This window comes from Homo sapiens, chromosome 6, assembly GCF_000001405.40.
Source record: "Homo sapiens chromosome 6, GRCh38.p14 Primary Assembly".
Classification (NCBI taxonomy): domain Eukaryota; kingdom Metazoa; phylum Chordata; class Mammalia; order Primates; family Hominidae; genus Homo; species Homo sapiens.
Genome location: NC_000006.12, coordinates 37,758,250 through 37,779,111, shown reverse-complemented (window position 1 = coordinate 37,779,111; position 20,862 = coordinate 37,758,250). Strand labels below are relative to the sequence as shown.

Below are 20,862 nucleotides of genomic sequence, written 5' to 3'. Positions count from 1 at the left end.
GAAGGGAGACCTCCTCTATCACCTCACTTCATTGAGAACACCGGCAGCTGCTGATGGGAGCTGCCAGTCATGCCTGCCTCTGAGGGCAGCTTGTCCATCTTGCTGCCTCCCACCAGGCCATGCTGGGCACATAAGGAGGGCTTTCCATGCTGGCAGGACCCAGGGAGATCCCATCACCTTCTGAATATCTGAGCCTGCCCCCAAGACCACTTGAGGGGGCAAATTCTTCCTGGGGTCTCTGCCACGGCAGGGAGAGAGAAGTAAATTAATCAATACTGTATTTGCCAAGTCCCTGCCATGTGGCTGGCAGTGCTCTGGGTACAGTGCTATAAAATGAAGTGAAGGAGTGGGCACAATGTATTCAGAGAAACCACCTTTTCTGAAACCCCCTTCCTCAATGTGCCCTGCCAGCAAGATGAGGTCTGTAGGCCTGTGGGCCTGAGTGGGGAACTCCATCTCTGGGGCATTCTCTGGGAAAGTGAGGGGCCCCTGAAGCAGGTGGTGAGGGAGACCCAGAGGGTAGAAGGAGGAGGCATCTGGCCCAACCTTTGCCCCAGGGGATGGGGTGACAGGAGCCTTAACCAGTGACACTGGACCCCACAGTCTGGCCCTCAGTAGTGGTGGATGTGGGTAGCAAGGGGGCACCAGGCAGTTCTGAGCAGTTATGGATGGAGGACAGTAGGGGAGGAGCCCCTAAAATCCTCATGCCAGTTCCGTGGAGTGCTGACTCCAGGAGGATGTGTTGAGCTTGGCATTTTCCTGCACAGTAACTCCTGGAGTCAGACACTTTGTTGTTAGGGGTGGCAATGGTGGTGGTGTTTGTCTCTTATCTGGCCCAGGGACCCTCACCTCTTCCCCAGTTTTCTCCATCACACTCCCTTTCCTTCTAGGAAGAGAAGCCAGGAGGCAAAGAGGAGGAGCTGGGAGATGTGGGGGCTCTCTGAGCCATGATGAAAGTGGGAAGTCACTGCATGGAGCCTCCTCATCTGTAAAATGGGGGTGCTCCTGCCTGCCTCCTGGGGTTGTGGGAATCAGATGAGAATGTTGAGGTGCTCTGGGGACTTGAAAGTTTTATGTAAGGGTAGGGTCTCAAGTGCATGGCCTCCCCATGAGGGTGGCTTTGCAGGCTCATGGAGAGGTGTAAGTTACGGCGGCATGCTGGTTCTACTTGCCCTTCTCCTTCTACCACCCCCTCCCCACCTTCCTGAGAACTCAGGTACGCACTGTCTCCATTGCAGAATGTTTGGTAGCCACTCCCCTTCCCCCACAGCCTCAGGAAGACCCACTCCTCTCCCAGTTTTCCTCTCCCCTCCCAGTCTTCCCCCGTCCCCCCACAACACAGCAGTCTCCTTTGTGACATTGCTAGGATGGCTGGGAATCACGCCCTCTACCTCCCAGGGGCCTCTCCAGTGTGAGAGCCACATCAGCTTTCCAGTATCCCCCACTGTGGTGGCCCAGACACCCGCTGGCTGCCCATGACCTTCAAGCAGTGCTAGGATCCTCTTTCAACTCTCCTCCCCGCTCCTCCAGCTTCAGGCCCCGCTGCTTGTGGCCAGCCTTAAGGCTGCTGTCTCTGCAGCCACGAGGGGAGGATCAGGTGTCTAGTGACTGGGGCCTGACTCCTCCCTGGGGCCCAGGAGAAATCGAACATTTTCTCTTCCCATCTTTGACTCGGCAGCCTGAGAGCCTGAGCCCCCACTTCTGAAACCGGAGCAGAGAAATGCATGCGGTTGGGAAACCACCTGCAGAACTTGGCTGGATCCTGGGCAGCCTGAGGTGCAAGATGCTTGGCTGGGCTGGGCTTGAGGATGGAAGGGGTGGGCCAAGAAAGAAAGATAGACAGGGCCTGGATGAGGGTGCCTCACTCACCTCAGGCATCAAATTTTAGGGGTGCCAAAAAACTCAGCAATTAAGAGACTTAATACTTGAATGAGCTAGTTTTAAAAATCAAAATTAATGCAAAACAAGATCTGTGATTGTGGCGGGCAGAATGATGCCCCCCTCCTGAAGAGGTCTACGTGCTCTAAAATTCGTGAATATGCTAAATTATATGGCAAAGGGGAGATCGGGTGCAGGCGGAAGAAAGGTTGCTAATCAGCAGACCTTGAGGTAGGGGGAGGAGCCTGAGTTGTCCAGGTGGAGCCAATGTAATCATAAGGGTCCTTAAAAGCAGAAGAGGGCGGCAGAAGAGTTGGAATCGGGGAAAGAAATGTCATGGCGGAAGTAGAGTCAGAGAAGTATGGTGTGAGAAAGACTCGCCTGGCTTTGAAGACGTTTGGAGGCCACTGCCAAGGACTGCAAGCAACCTCTGGAAACTAGAAAAGGCGAGAAAGCAGATGTTCCCCCAGAGCCTCCAGAAGGAAATGAAGTCCTGCTGACACCTTGTTTTTAGCTCAGTGAGACCGGTGTCAGACTGTGACTTACAGAACTGGGAACTAATAAACTTGTGTTGTTTTAAGGCACTAGGTTTGTGGTAATTTACGACAGCAGCAATAAGAAACTAATACAATGAAGAACCGAATACCAGCCTTTTACATAAAGACAGGCTCAGGAGATGATAGGCCCCCGGCCTGCGGACAACAGCCTTCGTGCTCATGCCCACTCAGTTCAGCCCTTGAACTGCGGGTGAGATCAAGGGGGCGGGGACGACAAGCCAGAGGTAAGAGGGGAGTTGGGGGCACTATGGCAGCTCCCGAGATTCACTGACTGGCAGGAGCATGGTGTCAGGGTGTGGTGGGAGTGGGGAGATAGGAGGGAGTGAAGAGAGGAAAGAAGAGGTGGGAAGAGGATAGAGGAACAAAGAGCATTGAGGCACAGCTAGAATCAGGCACAGAAGACTCAGAGGACCGGGTGCGGTGGCTCATGCCTGTAATCCCAGCACTTTGGGAGGCTAAGGTGAGCAGATCAGTTGAGGTCAGGAGTTCAAGACCAGCCTGGCCAACTTGGTGAAACCCCATCTCTACAAAAAATACAAAAATTAGCCAGGCACAGTGGCACACGCCTGTAATCCCAGCTACTCGGGAGGCTGAGGCAGGAGAATCGCTTGAACCCGGGAGGCAGAGGTTGCAGTGAGCTGAAACTGTGCCACTGCACTCCAGCCTGGGCAACAGAGCCAGACTCTGTCTCAAAAAAAGACTCAGAGAATTAGAGCTGGAGGTAGAAGTAAAAATTAGCGATCTCACTAATTTCTGTTTGGCTGGCATGTTAGTATTATATTAATATTCACTGATGTTTATAAATTACAATTATACATAGACATTGTTAAAAAGTCAAATACTTAAAGGCTTATAATGAAACAGCCATTTCCACACTGGCCTTCTGCACCCTGCAGTCCTGCTCCTGAGAGGCAGCCATTTTTAAGTGTTAACTGTTTTGGTTTTTTCCTAGTATTTTCAGATTTCTATGCAAAAAAATACTTATTTTCCTATTGATGTTTTAGTTTTAAGTATAAACTATTGCCTTTATAGTATGGAAGATGAAAACGTTAAGTTTGCTAAACCCAACCCTCCACTTTTTCTCCACCAATGTAGTTTTATCATTTTATTCCATCTTTTAAATTAATTTAATAGAGACAAGGTCTTGTTACGTTTCCAGGTTGGCCTCTAACTCCTGGACTGAAGCGATCTTTCCACCCCAGCCAGAGTAGCTGAGACTACAGGCATGCGCCATCATACCTGGCTCCACTTTTTTTCACATTTTAATACATCAATATTCAATGTTTATTTTATTATGATTTTGCAAATATTATTCATGGTTGAGCCAAAAAGTAGACTCTGATTACATTTTGAAAATTGTATTACCCTGCTTCCTGTGGAGTTAATTACTGGCTCTGTTAAAAAAAAAAAAAAAAAATCTTAGGCCAGGTGTGGTGGCTCACGCCTGTAATCCCAGCACTTTGGGAGGTCGAGGTGAGCAGATCATGAGGTCAGGAGATCGAGACCATCCTGGCTAACACAGTGAAACCCTGTCTCTACTAAAAATATAAAAAATTAGCCGGGCATGGTGGCGGGTGCCTGTAGTCCCAGCTACTGAGGAGGCTGAGGCAGGAGAATGGTGTGAACCCGGGAGGCAGAGCTTGCAGTGAGGCGAGATTGTGCCACTGCACTCCAGCCTGGGCGACAGAGCAAGACTCCATCTCAAAAAAAAAAAAAAATCTTAGTTTTTCCTATATATATCACAAATTTGACAAATCCTTTTTTTTTTTTTTTTTTTTTTGAGACAAGTTCTCACTCTGTTGCCCAGGCTGGAGTGCAGTGGTATGATCATGGCTCACTGCAGCCTTGATCTTCCCACTCAAGTGATCCTCCCACTTCAGCCCCCAGAGTAGCTGGGACTAACAGGTGTGCACCATCATGCCTGCCTAATGTTTTAATTTTTTCTTTTTTTCAGAGATGGGGTCTCCCTATGTTGCCCAGGCTAGCCTCCAACTCCTGAGCTCAAGCAATGCTCCCACCTCAGCCTCTCAAATTGCTGGGATTACAAAATGAGCCACTGCACCTGGCCCCGACAAATTCTTTAACACTTTTAAACACATTAGATGCTAACCATTTTGTTTCCTTTTTAGTGATATCTTTCTGGAAGTGTCCTGTCCTCCACTCAATCTGGATGGATTCTTCTCTGGGACTGCTGCCCAGCTCTCATCCTGGGAGTTCCCTTTACACTTATCTGACAAATGCCATGTACCTTTCGCCTGTGTTGCATTCCTTCTTTCCTGGGCCATAAAATCTTCTCTTTCTTGATTGACTTCCTCCTTTTAGTGGAGCATATTTTCCAAGATTTGAGAAAGGGTCTATAGGAGACATATATGTTGAGATCTTGCAAGCCTGAAAATGTCTTTATTCTACCTGCCCTTTGGTTGATAGTTTTGTTGGGTATACAATTCTAGATAGAAAACCATGTCCTCAGAATTTAAAATACATTGATAATTGTCTTCTAGCTTCCACTTTTATGGATAAACAAAATCTGAGTTCATTCTGACTTCCTTTTCTTTGCAAGTAACCAATTTTTTTCCCCCCTCTGGAAGCTTTTAGGGTTTCTTTTTTATCGCTAGTGTTTTGAAATTTCATAATGATGTATGCTTTGTATTGGTCTCTGTTCATTGTTCTCGATAATCTCAAACATGTATTTTAGTGCTGGAAATTTTTCTTTTATTATTTCTTTCTTGCTTGCTTTCCTTTTTTTTTTTTTTTTTTTTTTTTGAGACAGAGTCTTGCTGTGTTACCCAGGCTGGAGTGCAGTGGCGTGATCTCTGCTCACTGCAAGCTCCGCCTCCCAGGTTCACGCCATTCTCCTGCCTCAGCCTTCCTAGTAGCTGGGATTACAGGTGGCTGCCACCACGCCCAGCTAATTTTTGTATTTTTAGCAGAGACGGGGTCTCACCATGTTGGGCAGGCTGGTCTCGAATTCCTAACCTCAAGTGATCCATCCGCCTCAGCCTCCCACAGTGTTGGGATTACAGGCGTGAGCCACTGCGTCCGCCTCTTTTATTATTTCTTTACTTATTTTTTCCCTCTATAGTCTCAGTTCTTTTTCTTACTTGCTTACTTGCTTATTTAGAGATGGGGTCTTGTTATTTTGCCCTGGCTGTTCTTGAGCTCCTGGGCTCAACCAGTCGTCTCTCCTCAGCCTCCCAAAGTGCTGGGATTATAGGCATGAGCCACTGCTCCCCAGCCTGTTCTTCTTTTTCTGATATTCTTATTAGTCCTATGTTAGACTTAATTGACTAATCTTTGGATTTTTTTATTTTTGTCTCTCATATTCCCACTCTTTGTTTTGTTTTTTTCTATTTCATGGGAGAGTCCCACAACTTGATCTTTCAACCTTTATATTGATTTTAAGCCATTATCCTTTGAAATTATTATTATTATTATTATTATTATTATTTTGAGACAGAGTCTTGCTCTGTTGCCCAGGCTGGAGTGCAGTGGCGCCATTTCCGCTCACTGCAAGCTCCGCCTCCCGCGTTCACGCCATTCTCCTGCCTCAGCCTCCTGAGTAGCTGGGACTACAGGCGCCCGCCACCACGCCCGGCAATTTTTTTTTGTATTTGCAGTAGAGACGGGGTTTCACCGTGTTAGCCAGGATGGTCTCCATCTCCTGACCTCGTGATCCGCCCACCTTGGCCTCCCAAAGTGCTGGGATTACAGGTGTGAGCCACCGCGCCAGGCCTGAAATTATTTTTAATTTTTAAGAGCACTTGTTTTCTGTTTCCTTTTATATTATTTTTATTTCATGGGTATAACATAGTCTCATCTCTCCACAAATAATGTTTATATTGCTTTTTTATTATGTAAGTTTTAATCTGCTTCTTGCGTAATTTATGTTTTCTCATATTTCCTTTTTGTCTGTTTGTTTTGGTCTCTGTCTTTCAAGTTGGAGACTTTCTGTACCCATGTGATGATCCCTGCTGTCTGTTCATATTTAAAAGTGGGTTACTAGGAAATCATTTGACAGCTCCATGGGAAAGCTGTCAACTATGTGGGCCTCATGGAAGGGTGATCAGGTGGGGACCCAGCTGCTTCCTTGGCAGATGCCCAGTGTCAGTATATACACACTTTCTCTTGAGCCAGTCAGTTTCTCCAAGGAGAGATTCTCCAATCTCCTGCCTGAGGGTATAAACCCGACTGCCAGCATACTGAGAACTGAGCAGAGGGAGAGGGCTGTAGTTCCACTATTCAGAATACCGACTTTCACCTTATCACCTTTTCCAGCAAAGTGTCTGCCGTGGGCTGAATGGTGACCCTCAAAAAGATATGTCCATGTTATAAACCCTGAAACTTGTGGATTTTTTTTTTTTTTTTTTTTTTTTGGGAGATGGAGTCTCACTCTGTCGCCCAAGCTGGAGTGCAGTGGCACAATCTCAGCTCACTGCAAGCTCCACCTCCCGGGTTCACACCATTCTCCTGCCTCAGCCTGCCGAGTAGCTGGGATTACAGGCGCAAGCCACCACGCCTGGCTAATTTTTTGTATTTTTAGTAGAGACGGGGTTTCACCGTGTTAGCCAGGATGGTCTCGATCTCCTGACCTCATGATCCACCTGCCTCGGCCTCCCAAAGTGCTGGGATTATAGGTGTGAGCTACCATGCCTGGCTGTGGATGTTTTAATATAAACCTTTTTTTTTTTTGAGATGGAGTCTTGCTCTGTCACCCAGGCTGGAGTGCAGTGGCACAATCTCAGCTCACTGCAACCTCCACCTCCCGGGTTCAAGTGATTCTCCTGCCTCAGCCTCCTGAGTAGCTGGGATTACAGGTGTGCGCCACTATGCCTGGCTAATTTTTGTATTTTTAGTAGGGATGAGGTTTCACCATGTTGGTCAGGCTGGTCTAGAACTCCTGACCTCGTGATCTGCCCGCATCAGCCTCCCAAAGTGCTGGGATTACAGGCATGAGCCACCGTGCCCAGCCTAATATGAACTTATTTGGAAAAAGGGTCTTTGCATATATAATTAAGTATCCTGGATAAGGTCATCCTGGATTACACAGGTGGGCTCCAAATCCGATGACAAGTGTTCTATAAGCAACGCACAGAGGAGAGACACACAGAGAAGAGGAGAAAGGGCATGTGAAGATGGAGCCAGAGGTGGGAGTGATGCAGCCACAAGCCAAAGAACACCTGGAGCCACCAGAAACTAGAAGAGGCAAGGAATGGCATCTCTTTGGAGCTCCTGGAGGGAGGGCAGCTCTGCCAACACCTTGATTTCCGACTTCTTGCCTCCAGAACTATGAGACAGTACATATCTATTGTTCTAAGCCACCCAATTTGGGTTGTTATGGCCATTCTTGGAAACTTATACAGGGGCTGAGCATGGTGGCTCAGGCCTGTAATCCCAGCACTTCGGGAGGCTGAGGCGGGCAGATCACTTGAGGTCAGAAGTTTGAGACCAGCCTGGCCAACATGGTGAAATCCTGTCTCTACTAAAAATACAAAAATTAGCCCGGGTATGGTGGCATGTGCCTGTAGTCCCAGCTACTCGGGAGGCTGAAGCACGAGAATCGCTTGAACCTGGGAGGTGGAGGTTGCAGTGAGCCAAGATCATGCCATTGCACTCCAGCCTGGGCGACAGAGTGAGACTCTGTCTCAAAATAAATAAATAAAATAAAAGTAGCCAGGCATGGTGGTGCTTGCCTATAGTCCCAGCTACTTGGGAAGCTGAGGATTGCTTGTGAGGATTGCTTAAGCCCAGGAGGTTGAAGCTGCAGTGAGCTGTGATAGCGCCTGCACTCCAGTCTGGGCAAGAGGGCAAGACCCTGTCTCAAAAACACACACACAAAAAAACCCTGTCTCCAAAACAAAACAAAAAAGGCCCTAAGCAGTGGCTCATGTCTGTAATTACAGCATTTCGAAAGGCCGAGGTGGGCAGATTACTTGAGCTCAGAAGTTCAAGACCAGTCTGGGCAATATGGTGAGACCCCATATCTACTAAAAATATTTTTAAAAAGCCAGGTGTGGTGTGCACCTATGGTCCCAGCTGCTTGGGAGGCTGAGGTGGAAGGGTCTTTTGACCCCAGGGGACATAGGTTGTAGTGAGCCAAGATTGTACCACTGGGCCAGGCACGTTGGCTCACGCCTGTAATCCCAGCACTTTGGGAGGCCGAGGCAGGCGGATCACCAGGTCAGGAGATCGAGACCATCCTGGCGAACACAGTGAAACCCCGTCTCTACTAAAAATACAAAAAAATTAGCTGGGCTTGGTGGCAGGTGCCTGTAGTCCCAGCTACTCGGGAGGCTGAGGCAGGAGAATGGCGTGAACCTGGGAGGTAGAGCTTGCAGTGAGCCGAGATTGCGCCACTGCACTCCAGCTTGGGCGACAGAGGGAAACTCCGTCTCAAAAAAAAAAAGATTGTACCACTGTACTCCAGCCTGGGTGACAGAGTGAGACCCTGTCTCAAAAACCAACCAACCAAACAAAAAAACCCAACAAAAAAATCTTATAAGATTGCCAACTTACAGCAGTTTGACTTACAATTTTTCAACCTTATGTTGGGTTTATTAGAGTATTAAATGCATTTTCAACTTATAATATTTTCAGCTTATGATACGTTTGTCTGGACATAGCCCCACTGTAAGTTAAGGAGCATTTGTACAGCACCCCACCTTCAGCTAGCCTGTTAGTCCTGTGACCAGGGGCCCTTTGGTTCAACCTTTCCTGGGAATAAACCTTCAGTCTTCTGCTGGAGTGACAGCGGAGTAACTGGCTGAGATCTGAGGCTGTCATTGTATCTACTAGAGGCTTTTAATATTCCAGTTTTCAGCCTTCCCCTCACTCCCACCTGCAGTGGTACCTGGTGTCCTCACTTGGGCCTTGCTGAGGTTCTCTGGTGCGAATTGTCTGGCTTTTTGTTGGCAAATCCCCTCCCAACCCCCAAACTTGCAGGGTTATGATTCTCCTTTTTATACAGTAAAAATTCATTACCACCTGTATGACTCAGGGTTCTCCAGAGAAAAGAACCAATGGAATATACATATAGATACATTAGAGGTGATTTATTATGGGAGTTAGCTCACACAATTATGGAGGCCAAGAAGTCCCATGATATGCCATCTGCAAGCTGGAGGACCAGGAAAGCTGATGGGACAATTCAGCCTGAGTCTGAAAGCTCAGGAACTTGCACAGGGGTCAGGGGAGGGGACTGGTGTGTGCCCTGGGGTCCAAAGGCCCGAGGACCAGGAGGTCTGATATCTAAGGGCAGTAGAGGATGGATGTCTCAGCTCAAGAGAGTGAATTTGTGGCCAGGCGCGGTGGCTCACGCCTGTAATCCCAGCACACTGGGAGGCTGAGGCAGGCAGATCACTTGAGGTCAGGAGTTCGAGACCAGCCTGGTCAACATGGTGAAACCCCGTCTCTACTAAAACTACAAAAATTAGCTGGGCATGGTGGTGCGTGCCTGTAATCCCAGCTACTCAGGAGGGTGAGGCACAAGAATCTCTTGAACCCGGGAGGCGGAGGTTGCAGTGAGCTGAGATCACGCCACTGCACTCCAGCCTGGGTGATAGAGTTAGACCCTCTCAAAAAGAAAAAAAAAAAAAAAACCCAGAGTGAATTTGCCCTTCCTCCATTGTTTTGTTCAATTTTGGCCCTCGGTAAATGAAATGATGTCTTCCCTCCTTAGTCTATCAATTCAAATGCTGATCTCTTCCAGAAACACCCTCACAGACACACCCAGAAATGTTTTATCAGCTATCTGGGCATCCCTTGGCCCAGACAAGTTAACACATAAATTAACCTTCATGCTACGCATCCATCAACTTTCCAACTTTCCAAAATTGTAATCTCTCTCATCTGCTATCATCTTTCACTGTTTTGTGTGGTTTTGCCTTTATTTAAAAACACCTTTGACTGCCATTTAGTGGTGTTTTAGGAAGGAGAAGAGATAAATGAGTATACTCAATTACTTTAATCAGGAGACGCACATTCTTAATTTTAATTATTTAAGATTGGTTGCTGTAAGGAAGCTCATGCACTGTCTAGTGTGCCTCAGGCTTCCCCACTCCCTGCAGTGCTGCCCAAGGTCTGATTTGCACATTTATGTTTTCTACCTGGCTTCCTTCTGCAGTTATCACTGCTTGAGGTACCCTCTAGAGATCAGAATTCCAGAGAAGCATGGCACCATGGCAAAGGAGGTATTTGGCAATGTAACTTCTGCCTAATTCTTCCCATTAAAAATATCCTGGAACTGGGCTAGAGAAGTAGAATGAATTAGAGTTAGGAAATTGGGCTAGGAGAGGAGGGAAATAAGGCTGGCTCACTTTAGCTTGGTTGACTTTCTGATTCCTTAGTCGTGTAATCTACTGGCTCCTGTTTTCTTTTCTACTGCCTCAGTTTTCCTATTTGACTAATAGGCACAATCATCAACGCCCAGTGGAATGAGGTTGGCACAGTGAAATAAGACATAAGAGCCAGGCGTGGTGGCTCAAGCCTATAATCCCAGCACTTTGGGAGGCTGAGGCGGGCGGATCATGAGGTCAGGAGAGCAAGACCATCCTGGCTAACACGGTGAAACCCTGTCTCTACTAAAAATACAAAAAATTAGCCGGGCGTGGTGTTGGGCACCTGTAGTCCCAGCTGCTCAGGAGGCTGAGGCAGGAGAATGATGTGAACCCGGGAGGCGGAGCTTGCAGTGAGCGGAAATGGCACCACTGCACTCCAGCCTGGGGAACAGAGCGAGACTCCGTCTCAAAAAAAAAAAAAAAGACATGAGAAGCCTCTGGCCGGGCAAGTGGCTCATGCCTGTAATCTCGGCACTTTGAAAGGCCAAGGTGGGAAGATCACTTGAGCCCAGGAGTTTGAGACCAGTTTGGGCAACAGAGTGAGACCTTGTCTCTACAAATAATTTAAAAAAATTTTTTTGAGACGGAGTCTGGCTCTGCTGCCCAGGCTGGATTGCAGTGGCACAATCTTGGCTCATTGCAACGTCCACCTCCCCGGTTCAAGCAATTCTCCTGCCTCAGCCTCCAGAGTAGCTGGGATTACAGGCGTCTGCCACCACACCTGGCTAATTTTTGCATTTTTAGTGGAGACGAGGTTTCGCCATGTTGGCCAGACTGGTCTCGAACTCCTGACCTCAGGTGATCTGCCCACCTTGGCCTCCCAAAGTGCTGGGATTACAGGCATGCACCACCATGCCCGGCCAAAAGAAATTTTTTTAAAGACATAAGAAGCCTCAACAGAAGGAAAGCTGGGTGCTTGGCTATTTTCACTTTTATCTGCAGTGCAACATGTTATCTTGATTGGCAATGAATTGTATTGCTCAGATATATCTACTCCTCCCCATTGCAACTACCTACCTGGGCTCCACTGTTGGAAGGAGAGATCTTGATACTAAGAGACAATGATTTGGGAGTCCTGTTTTTGGAATTGGTGTCTCCAGCTGGGAGACACTCTGGGTTCCTCAGTTGTCTCCATACTCATCTGCTCCAATATTGGAGGGTGTGGGAATTTTTCAGCTATGAAAGAGACAAAAGGCAGTAAGAGGGATTCCAGGAGGAGCTACAGATGCAGAGGTGGTTGAGGCTGTTGAAATTATGAGAGGCCATTGTTTTGGACTGAGCTCCTGCCCTAGGCCCCAGCAGACCAGCCCAAACCAAAATGGAGTCACTCATGCTAAATGGCATATAGTCAAACTGCAACTTTAAGGAAGCAGATCCCAAAATATACCAGTCTTTTTCTGAAAACAGGAGATTCCAGTCTACCTGAGTCAGCGTAATAAGGAAGCCCCTTCTACTTTACCCCTTACAGAAAGGTAACATGAACTAATCTGATGTTAATTAATTTATTTCTATTGTTCTGTTTCAGTGTTCCCATTTTACAAACCCACTGTTCTGCCATTGCCCAGTGGGAGCTCTCATTCTATTTCATAGAATGGAGGCTCCTCTGATTCATGAATTGTGAATAGAAGCCAGTGAAATCTATAAATCTGTTGTAATTTTGCCTTTTGACAAAGCCAGGGTCTTCACTCATCTCTCTCTGCCAGGAGGCTTTGAAGGGGATGCTGAGCAGTTGCTGTGTGTGGGGAGGGAGAGGGAGGTGGAACTTGCTACAATTCTCCAGTGAGAACCAACTAAGCACTTGGCAAAATATTTGGCTCCTTTTTCCATCCCTCCCCTTCTCCCTAAAGCTCCAGGGGCCCCTGACAGATCTTCATACAGTGTAGGATGTCTGATCAGCTGTTTTTTGTTTTTTTTTGTTTTTTTTTTTGAGATGGAGTCTTGCACTGTCACCCGGGCTGGAGTGCAATGGCAAGATCTTGGCTCACTGTAACCTCCACCTCCGGGGTTCAAGCCTCAGCCTCCCAAGTAGCTGGGATTACAGGTGCCCGCCACCATGCCCAGCTAATTTTTTTTATTTTTTATTTTTTGTAGAGATGGAGTTTCACTAGGTTGGCCAGGCTGGTCTCAAACTGCTGACCTCGTGATCCGCCTGCCTCGGCCTCCCATAGTGCTGGGATTATAGACGTGAGCCATTGGGCCCAGCCAGTTGTTGGTTGGATTAAGCTGAATGGCTGCAGCCGGACCTTCCCTGACCTCCCAGGGGCTGGGACCTAGGGAAACAGGGTCCAGTAATTCAGACCACAATTGTTCTAAAACGTCAGCCAGCAGCACCCACATCCTCACTGCCCCCAGGGCTGATTCCCCATGGTGCTGGCCTGGGAAATGGGGGGCCAGGGGAAAAGCAGAATCTGACAGCCCTAAGGCCCTACCACCCCTTCCTCTTCTCTCCCGGTCTTCCCTTTCCTCTGCCCTTCCTCCACCATCCCCCAGGAAGCAGTAGACACAATCAGCAACTTTTATTTTTTTTTTAAATAAAAAGGCACTTTAGGGCTTTTACGGAGGAGGCTGAGGCCCATTAAGACACAAATTAAATCTTTGTGGGAACAGCCAGAGTGCGATTCCCTGTGTGAGGAAGGCCCCTCAGGGTACCGCTGCCCCCAGCCCCAGGTTTCCATTGGCCTTGGGCCCGCCACCCTCCTCTCTCCCCGCAGGATTAAAGTGCATCTCAGCAGCAAGAGGGGAAATTAATCAGTCTTTGTATTAAGTAGGTTATAGGGCAGGGCCAGAGAGTGGTAGGAGGAGAGAGAAAGAAAAAGCAGGTGAGGGAGCCAAGCAGTGAGGGGAGGGTGGAGGAAGGGAGTGGGGCCCTTTGCCAGTCTACTGCTTTATTTACCTCTCTCACCAAGTGCAGGAGGGAGTTGCTATTGCTAGCCCCACTTTACAGATAGGGAAAACTGAGGTTTCACCAAGTTAAGTGACATGACCAAGGTCATGCTGCTAATGTCAGCTGGGATTTGAATCTCCTTTTAGAGGAGAGGGGAGAAGAAAAGGAAGAGAGAGAGGGCTGGGTGCAGTGGCTCACACCTGTAATCCCAGCACTCTGGGAGGCCGAGGCGGGTGGATCACGTGAGCTCAGGAGTTTGAGACCAGCCTGGGCAACATGGTGAGACCTTGTCTCTACTAAAAATACAAAAATTAGCCAGGCGTGGTGGTACACGCCTGTAATCCCAGCCACTAGGGAGACTGAGGCAGGAGAATCGCTTGAACCCGGGAGACGGAGGCTGCAGCAAGCTGAGATTGCGCCACTGCACTCCAGCCTGGGTGACAGAGTGAGACTCCATCTCAAAAAAAAAAAAAAAAAAAAAAAAAAAAAAAAGCAAAGGAGGGGAATACACACATTGTTGCCCTTTCCTCATCCCATCCCTCCACCCCAAGAGCATTGCTCTGCAGCCAGTTCAGGAGCTGGGAAGTCCTTCCTTCTTTCTAACTGCTCTTCCCTGTGACCAGTCACTCCTGAGGGGCCCACAGAGAAGGTGTGTTTTATCTGGGCGGAGCACTGGATGGGTAGGAGTGGGGAAGGGGCCATTAGCCAGTCTACCCAAGTAACCCCTTGGGAGCTGTGCCGGGTGCTGGAGTTTGGACAAAGGGGAAGGGGTAGAGATGGAAAAACTGTTGTCCTTGGAGGCTCCAGGTGAGGGAGTCAGGAGCCAGTGTGAGGTAGAGGGGCTGGGCTCCCTTTGCCTTCCTCCAACCTGTGCTGGCCTGTCATCCATTTGTTCAACAAATGTTTATTCAGCACTTGCTGCGCTGCCGGTGGGGGGCTAAGTGCTTCAGTTAGAGAGCAATAAGAATGAGAATAATGCCATTTTTCTTCTTTCTAAGAAGCATATTTTCCCCACAATTTTAACATTTCTGAAACTAGGAAGTGCCTTACAAGCAACAAACATTATATTTCCAGCAGTGTTTTTTTTTTCTTAGACATACATAAAGTCATGGTGTGTCCAAACCATGACAGCTTAGATTGAATGAAAAATGGCAGTAGCTGTGCTTATAGTACTTACAACACACCAGTGACTGTCCTAACTGCTCTACATGTATTAACTCATTGGGTCTTCCCAGCCATCTGAGGTAGGAATTATTACTGTCTCCATTTTAGAGATGAGGAAACTGAGGCACCAGGAGGTGAATTCTTTTTTTTTGAGACAGGGTCTCACTCTGTTACCCAGGCTGGAGTGCAGTGGTGCAATCACAGTTCACTGCAGCCTCGACCTCCCAGGCTCAAGCAATCCTCTTGCCTCAGCCTTAGAAGTAGTTAGGACTACAGGTGAGTGCCACCATGTCTGACTAATTTTTTCTTATTTTTTGTAGAGACGAGGCTCTTGCTATGTTGCCCAGGCTGGTCTCGAACTCCTGGGCTCAAGTGATAATCCAGCCTTGGTCTCCCAAAGTGTTGGGATTACAGGCATGAGCCACTGCACCTGGCCAAAGAGGTGAACTCTTATCTCCCCATCAAAAGCGGACAGCCCCATGGACTCCCTTGCAAACACTAATGCCAGGCTTGTAACCAGGCTTGTACAGGGCAACAAAGAGAACACCAGAGAGGATGCCCACCCTGGAAAACTCCCACCAAGAGAAGGCTGGGGGGGCCCTTCCAGTCCTCCCCTCTGTTCGCCCCGATTCCCTTCTCCTTGGTGTGTGGTCTGCAGTGATTAATCACAAAAGCACCTGTCACTCCTCTTAGCCTGACAGCTGTCAGCTCAGCCCAGGGGAGGATGGGATGGAGAGTGGGGTGGGGGAGCCATGGAGAAACTCAAAGAGCTGGAAGTGGAACATCTCATCATTCCTGGTCCCTTCTGGAGAATGTGCATGGATGAGGTTTCTCCTGGTCTGTCTCAAGCTGGGGAGGCACCTGCTGATGGGGAAGGTTTACAGTAGAGAAAAGAAAAGGGGAGAGAAGTTACCAGAAATCCCTCTTCCCTTACCACCCACACTCCAAAGCAGGCCAAAAGCCAACTTGGGAGGCAAAGGGCCTGGGATGTTGCTCCTCTCTCTGCCAAACCTATGAACCTAGGCAAATCTCCAGCCCTCAGTTTCTCAATCTGGACAGTGGGATAACTTCTCCACATGGAGACCCTAGATGAGAGCCTAAGAAATACCAATTTTCCAGGCCTTTCTTCTGCCTGTGTCTTCTCCCTCTAGACTACTCCTCCACCCTGCACTCCCCACAACCTGCAACATTCAGTTCTACCCCCTCCCCAGCCTGACTCTGCCAAGTGCTGGGAAATGAAGATCTCACCTGCCAAAAGGAACTGGGAGGGGTGCCGAGGGCCCTGCCAGCAGCCCGGAGCTGTCAGGATGGCGATAATTAATTAATCAATCCATCTGGGGAGGCCCATGACAGCCTCTCCTGGACACAGCACAGCAGACAGAGACAGCAGCCACTGCAACCAGGTTGCAGCCAGGGAGGCCCTGCCAACCCAGACCACATGAACCTCGGATCCTGCAGTCTGAGCTGGGTAGGGGGAGTAGAAAGAAGGGGCTCGTCTTCCCATGCCTGGTGCATCTCACACTTGCTCATTCACTCAACAAATACTACTAAGCACCTGCTCTATGTCTTGGATCAGGTTTGCTGGAAGCAGAACCCGAGACAGGGATTCAGACACCTTTGCTTACTCAGGGAGTGCTCACTTCTCAGGAACCCGTGGCAGAGGAGGAGGCCGAGCGAGGATGTGCTCTCAGCTAAAGTCTAGCCTCGACTTGATCCACAGAGGGCTCTGGAGTGTACGCCACACTGCAAAGTTTTCTCCCCATTTAAGAAGAGGGCCAGCCCTTCCCACTCCCTCCTCAGTTGGTCATTACCTGTGCGCTGTTGGGGGGTGGGTAACCTCCAGGGCAAGGTGCTTCCCATCAGCAGATGGTGAGACCCCAGCAGAGGGGCAGCTGGGAGCCATTAGCAGCCAATATCCACAGTAGCTGAGGGATGGGTGCACCCGCGTGGGTGCAGGGGCTCCAGGCATGCTATCAGCAGGTTGCACTACACCAGTGGTTCTCCAAGTGTGGCCTCTGGACCAGCAGTATCTGCATCCTGTGGAAAATGAAAAATTTCAAGTCCTATCTCAGAAATCCTGAATCAGACACTCTGGGTGTGGGGCCCTGCAAGCTCTGCTTTAGCAGCTCCTCCTGGTGCTTCTGGCACTTGCTAACTTTGGAGAACACTGAACCACAGGGTACAAGGGTCATAGTCTCGGTACTTGTGGGACTTAGAGCTGGTGTGGCTGATCAGCAGATTGCACATGAGGCTATTTATGGGTTTGTGGACCCAGGTCTGTGGCTGGTAGCTCAGCTGGTTTGGCCAGGTTTTCCACATAGTGGGACACTCCCAACAGCTCCTGCCATGGACCTTCATTCTTGAAGTCATCTATAGCCTAGGACCCCTCTCATTACACCCACGGTACAGTGTCCTTCCCTCAACACCCCACCGCACCGTGGTGCCACTATGAGGGGAGGACATTCATATTTCGACCAATGTGTTCTGAGTCTCTTCTGGGCTCTTTCTTATAAGCTATGTCTTGGATCCCTCCCAGCTCCTGTGTTGTAGACATTAGCATCCGCATTTCACAGCAGAGGAAACCGTGGCTCAGACTAACTTGCCTAAAGCGGCACTGTTAACAAGGGAAGAGGCCGGGCATAGTGGCTCATGCCTGGATTCCCAACATTTTAGGAGGCCAAGGCGGGAGGATTGTTTGAGGCCAGGAGTTTGAGACGAGCCTGGGAAACACAGTGAGACCTTATCTCTATCAAAAAATACAAAAATTAGCCGGGCGTGGTGGTGCGTGTCTGTAGTTCTAGCTATTCCTGAGGCTGAGGTGGGAGGATCACTTTAGCCCCAGAGGTTGAGGCTGCAGAGAAATCAGGACTTTTGAATCTAAGCTCGGCTAGTGTGTTCTGCTAGAAATAACTTTGGCAGAAGTCAGTAATGTGGGTAAGCTTCAGGTGAGGGTAGTGGTGGGACGAGGGACACAGGAGCCTCCTGGGGAACTGGAAGGACCATATCTTGATCTGGGTTGTGGTAACACACACGTATGCATAGGTTAAAAAGTCACTGAGCTTTACACTTAGGATTTACGTATTTTATTGTATGTAAATTATACTTCGTTTTTTAAAATGCAGAAACCAAACCCTAAACAGTCACAAAAAGACAAATACTGTATGATTTCACTTATTGAGGCATCAACAGTGGTCAAACTCATAGAAACAGAAAGCAGAATGGTGGTTGCCAGGATCAGCAGGGAGAGAGGCAGGATCAGTTGTTTTTTTAACGGGTACAGAGTTTCTGTTTTACAAAATGAAAAAGTTCTGGAAAGTGGTTGCTCGGCAATATGCATATACTTAAATCTACTGAGTTGTACTCATAAAAATGGTTAAGATGGGACAGGCATGGTGCCTCACGCATGTAATCCCAGCACTTTGGGAGGCTGAGGCAAGTGGATTGCTTGAGTCCAGGAGTTCAAGACCAGCCTAGGCAACAGGGCAAAACCCTGTCTCTACAAAAAATACAAAAATAAGCTAGGCGTGGCTCAGGAGCCAGAGGTTGCAGTGAGCTGAGATCACACCACTGTACTCCAACCTGGGTGACAGAGCCAGATCCTGTCTCAAAAAATAAAAAATAAAATGGTTAAGATGGTAAATTCTATGTTATATGTATTTTATCACAATTAAAACAATTTTTTTAAGTCCTTAAAAATCTTGCTTTGGGATGCTCCATGAAGTCAAGGCACTAGATGATAGATGGCTGCCCTTTAATAGCACCAACTGGGGATTCACCTCCTGAATGAACTGGTTAGAACTTTAGACTCTTGAAGTCAGCGAAGGCAAGCCTGCTCTCCTATACCCCTGGTGGGTGTTTCATCCTATGTGGAAACCCCTTTTAGTGACAGGAGCTCACTCCATCCATGCTGAAAAGTAATGCAAGATAATGCTGGATACTTAGAAGACACAGACAAACATGAAGAATGTCTGCCCTTCTTTGCATAGCTCTATTAGAAAGTCTCCTTGTATGCAGCTTTTCGGGAGGCTGCGGCAGGAGGATCAGTTGAACCCGGGAGGCGGAGGTTGCAGTGAGCTGAGATCGCACCACTGCACTGCAGTCTGGCAACAGAGCAAAACTCCATCTCAAAACAAAAACAAAACAAACAAAAAAAGAAAGTCTTCTCGTATGAAGCCCAAAACTCTGCCCTTGGTCCCTGTTCTGAACCTTAGCACCATGGAGTATGAGTAACACCTCACACACGACCAACCTGCAGGGTTTTTTTTGATTTGCTCTGGTTTTCCAGCCCCGCACATTTGAAACTATTTCTTCTTTGCTGGGCACATACTTCTGGTGCCAGGCAGGGCACAGTCACACGGAGATCTGACTTCTGACTCTGTGTCCTGTTGCCCAATGAGTCAGTCAGCACAGTGGGTGTCAGGAGTATTCCTTAGCTAACATGGAAGTGACTGCAAATCAAATAAACATATCCACTAAACCCAACCTAAATGGATCTCTTACTCAAATTCCCCTGAGCTGGATCCCATAAATGTCCATGGCCACTCCAGTACCACCCAACACAAGGGAAAGTGTGATGAAGAGAAAAAGTGGAAAAGAGACAGGGATCTTAACTGATCATGGTTGAAGTTTCTACATTTGCAAATTATACAAAGCCATATGACCACGTGCACATGTTTGCTAAAGCCCTTCCAAGGACCTTGGAAGGGGCCTATGTAAGTGAGCGGCCCTGAAGCAGAAGCTGCATCAGCTACGTGGCGAATCCAGTTCTGTCCATGGACTGTGAGACCGTGAAGGACGGGGCTGCCCTGCAGGTTTTTGACGCTGATCCTCCTCACCCCTGCCTCTATCCCCAGGCTTCTCTTTTGTTGGGTAAACATGACCAGTGCCTTCTATGATTCCTCAGAAACAGCTCCCTGCTTCTTGTCTGACCTGGTGGTAGTTTGTCTACATTCCTTTAGAAGGGCCCGGAACTGAGTGACAGCTTCCTGATTGCATCTGCCAGAGCAGGATATTCAACTCCATGCAACCATTGATTCCCTCAAATGGCCTTGGGACCAAGGTGTCACAATTAGGCACTGCTCATCCTTCATTCATGGATTAACCTGGCAACAATTTCAGAGTGTTTCATTTGCGCCAGGCCCCGAGGTAGGCCCCGGGATGCAGAGACAAACAGGAGAGTCCCTGCCCTTGGGGAGCTTATACCTTCCACTTGCATAGCGGCAGCTGTAACTTCATGACTCCCTGTGCCGCCATCCTGTTCCCACGAAGTTAGCTTTTAGCTCCAATCCCAGAGCCTTCCACAGATCTTCAACTCAATTTCATCTTATTCAATTTGCTCCATTTGACCATTCTGCCAAAATCATTTTGGATCTTGTTTCTGCATGCCCTGTCCTCTCTCTCCCTCCTGGCTCTGTGTCATCCGCGAAGGTGATAAGCCTGCCTGTTATGTCTTCATTGCAGTCCCTGATAACAGTGTTCGACTGCCCAAGCCGAGGACAGAGCCTGGAGGCACTAGAAGTTTCCCTCCAGGTGGACACAGATTCCTTAATCAGTACCCTTTGGGGACAGTGGTTCAATCCACCTAATTACACAGTCACCCAGGCATGTTTGTCTGTTTGTTCTCAAGGACATCACAAGGGGCCTTGTCACATTTCTCAGTGAAGACAAGACACATCACTTCTGACATGGTTTCCTTTTTGTCAGTCTGGCAACCCTGTCAAGAGAAGAAGAGTGGATTCTGTTTTCCAGCCACCAACACCAAACTTTTTTTTCTCAACTTCTTGCTGAAGGATGTATTTGGAAAAGTCCCCACATCATAACCATACAGCTTGATGACTTTTCACAAAGTGACACACCATGTATTCATCACCCAGATCAAGAAATGGAACAATACCACCCTGCCCCTTGAAAGTGCCTTCATTTCTCCTTTCTGTCACCTCCCCTTGCCAGGAGTAACCCTCATGTGACTTCCAACACCATAGACTAGCTTCTCCCATTTTTGAACTTTGCATAAATGGAATCACACAGAATGTATTCTTTTGTATCT

General features: G+C 48.3%; 4 annotated features.

Annotated features, from left to right (window-relative positions):
• Positions 1,112-2,043: an enhancer, noted in NCBI's record as "H3K4me1 hESC enhancer chr6:37744845-37745776 (GRCh37/hg19 assembly coordinates)". NCBI's record gives its function as "activates a minimal SCP1, AML or CMV promoter by ChIP-STARR-seq in primed H9 embryonic stem cells {active_cell/tissue: H9 hESC(primed)}" and the evidence as "EXISTENCE:reporter gene assay evidence [ECO:0000049][PMID:30033119]".
• Positions 1,448-1,517: an enhancer, noted in NCBI's record as "active region_24479". NCBI's record gives its function as "activates an Ori minimal core promoter by ATAC-STARR-seq in GM12878 lymphoblastoid cells {active_cell/tissue: GM12878}" and the evidence as "EXISTENCE:reporter gene assay evidence [ECO:0000049][PMID:35858748]".
• Positions 2,111-2,661: an enhancer, noted in NCBI's record as "H3K4me1 hESC enhancer chr6:37744227-37744777 (GRCh37/hg19 assembly coordinates)". NCBI's record gives its function as "activates a minimal SCP1, AML or CMV promoter by ChIP-STARR-seq in primed H9 embryonic stem cells {active_cell/tissue: H9 hESC(primed)}" and the evidence as "EXISTENCE:reporter gene assay evidence [ECO:0000049][PMID:30033119]".
• Positions 16,192-16,693: an enhancer, noted in NCBI's record as "H3K4me1 hESC enhancer chr6:37730195-37730696 (GRCh37/hg19 assembly coordinates)". NCBI's record gives its function as "activates a minimal SCP1, AML or CMV promoter by ChIP-STARR-seq in naive H9 embryonic stem cells {active_cell/tissue: H9 hESC(naive)}" and the evidence as "EXISTENCE:reporter gene assay evidence [ECO:0000049][PMID:30033119]".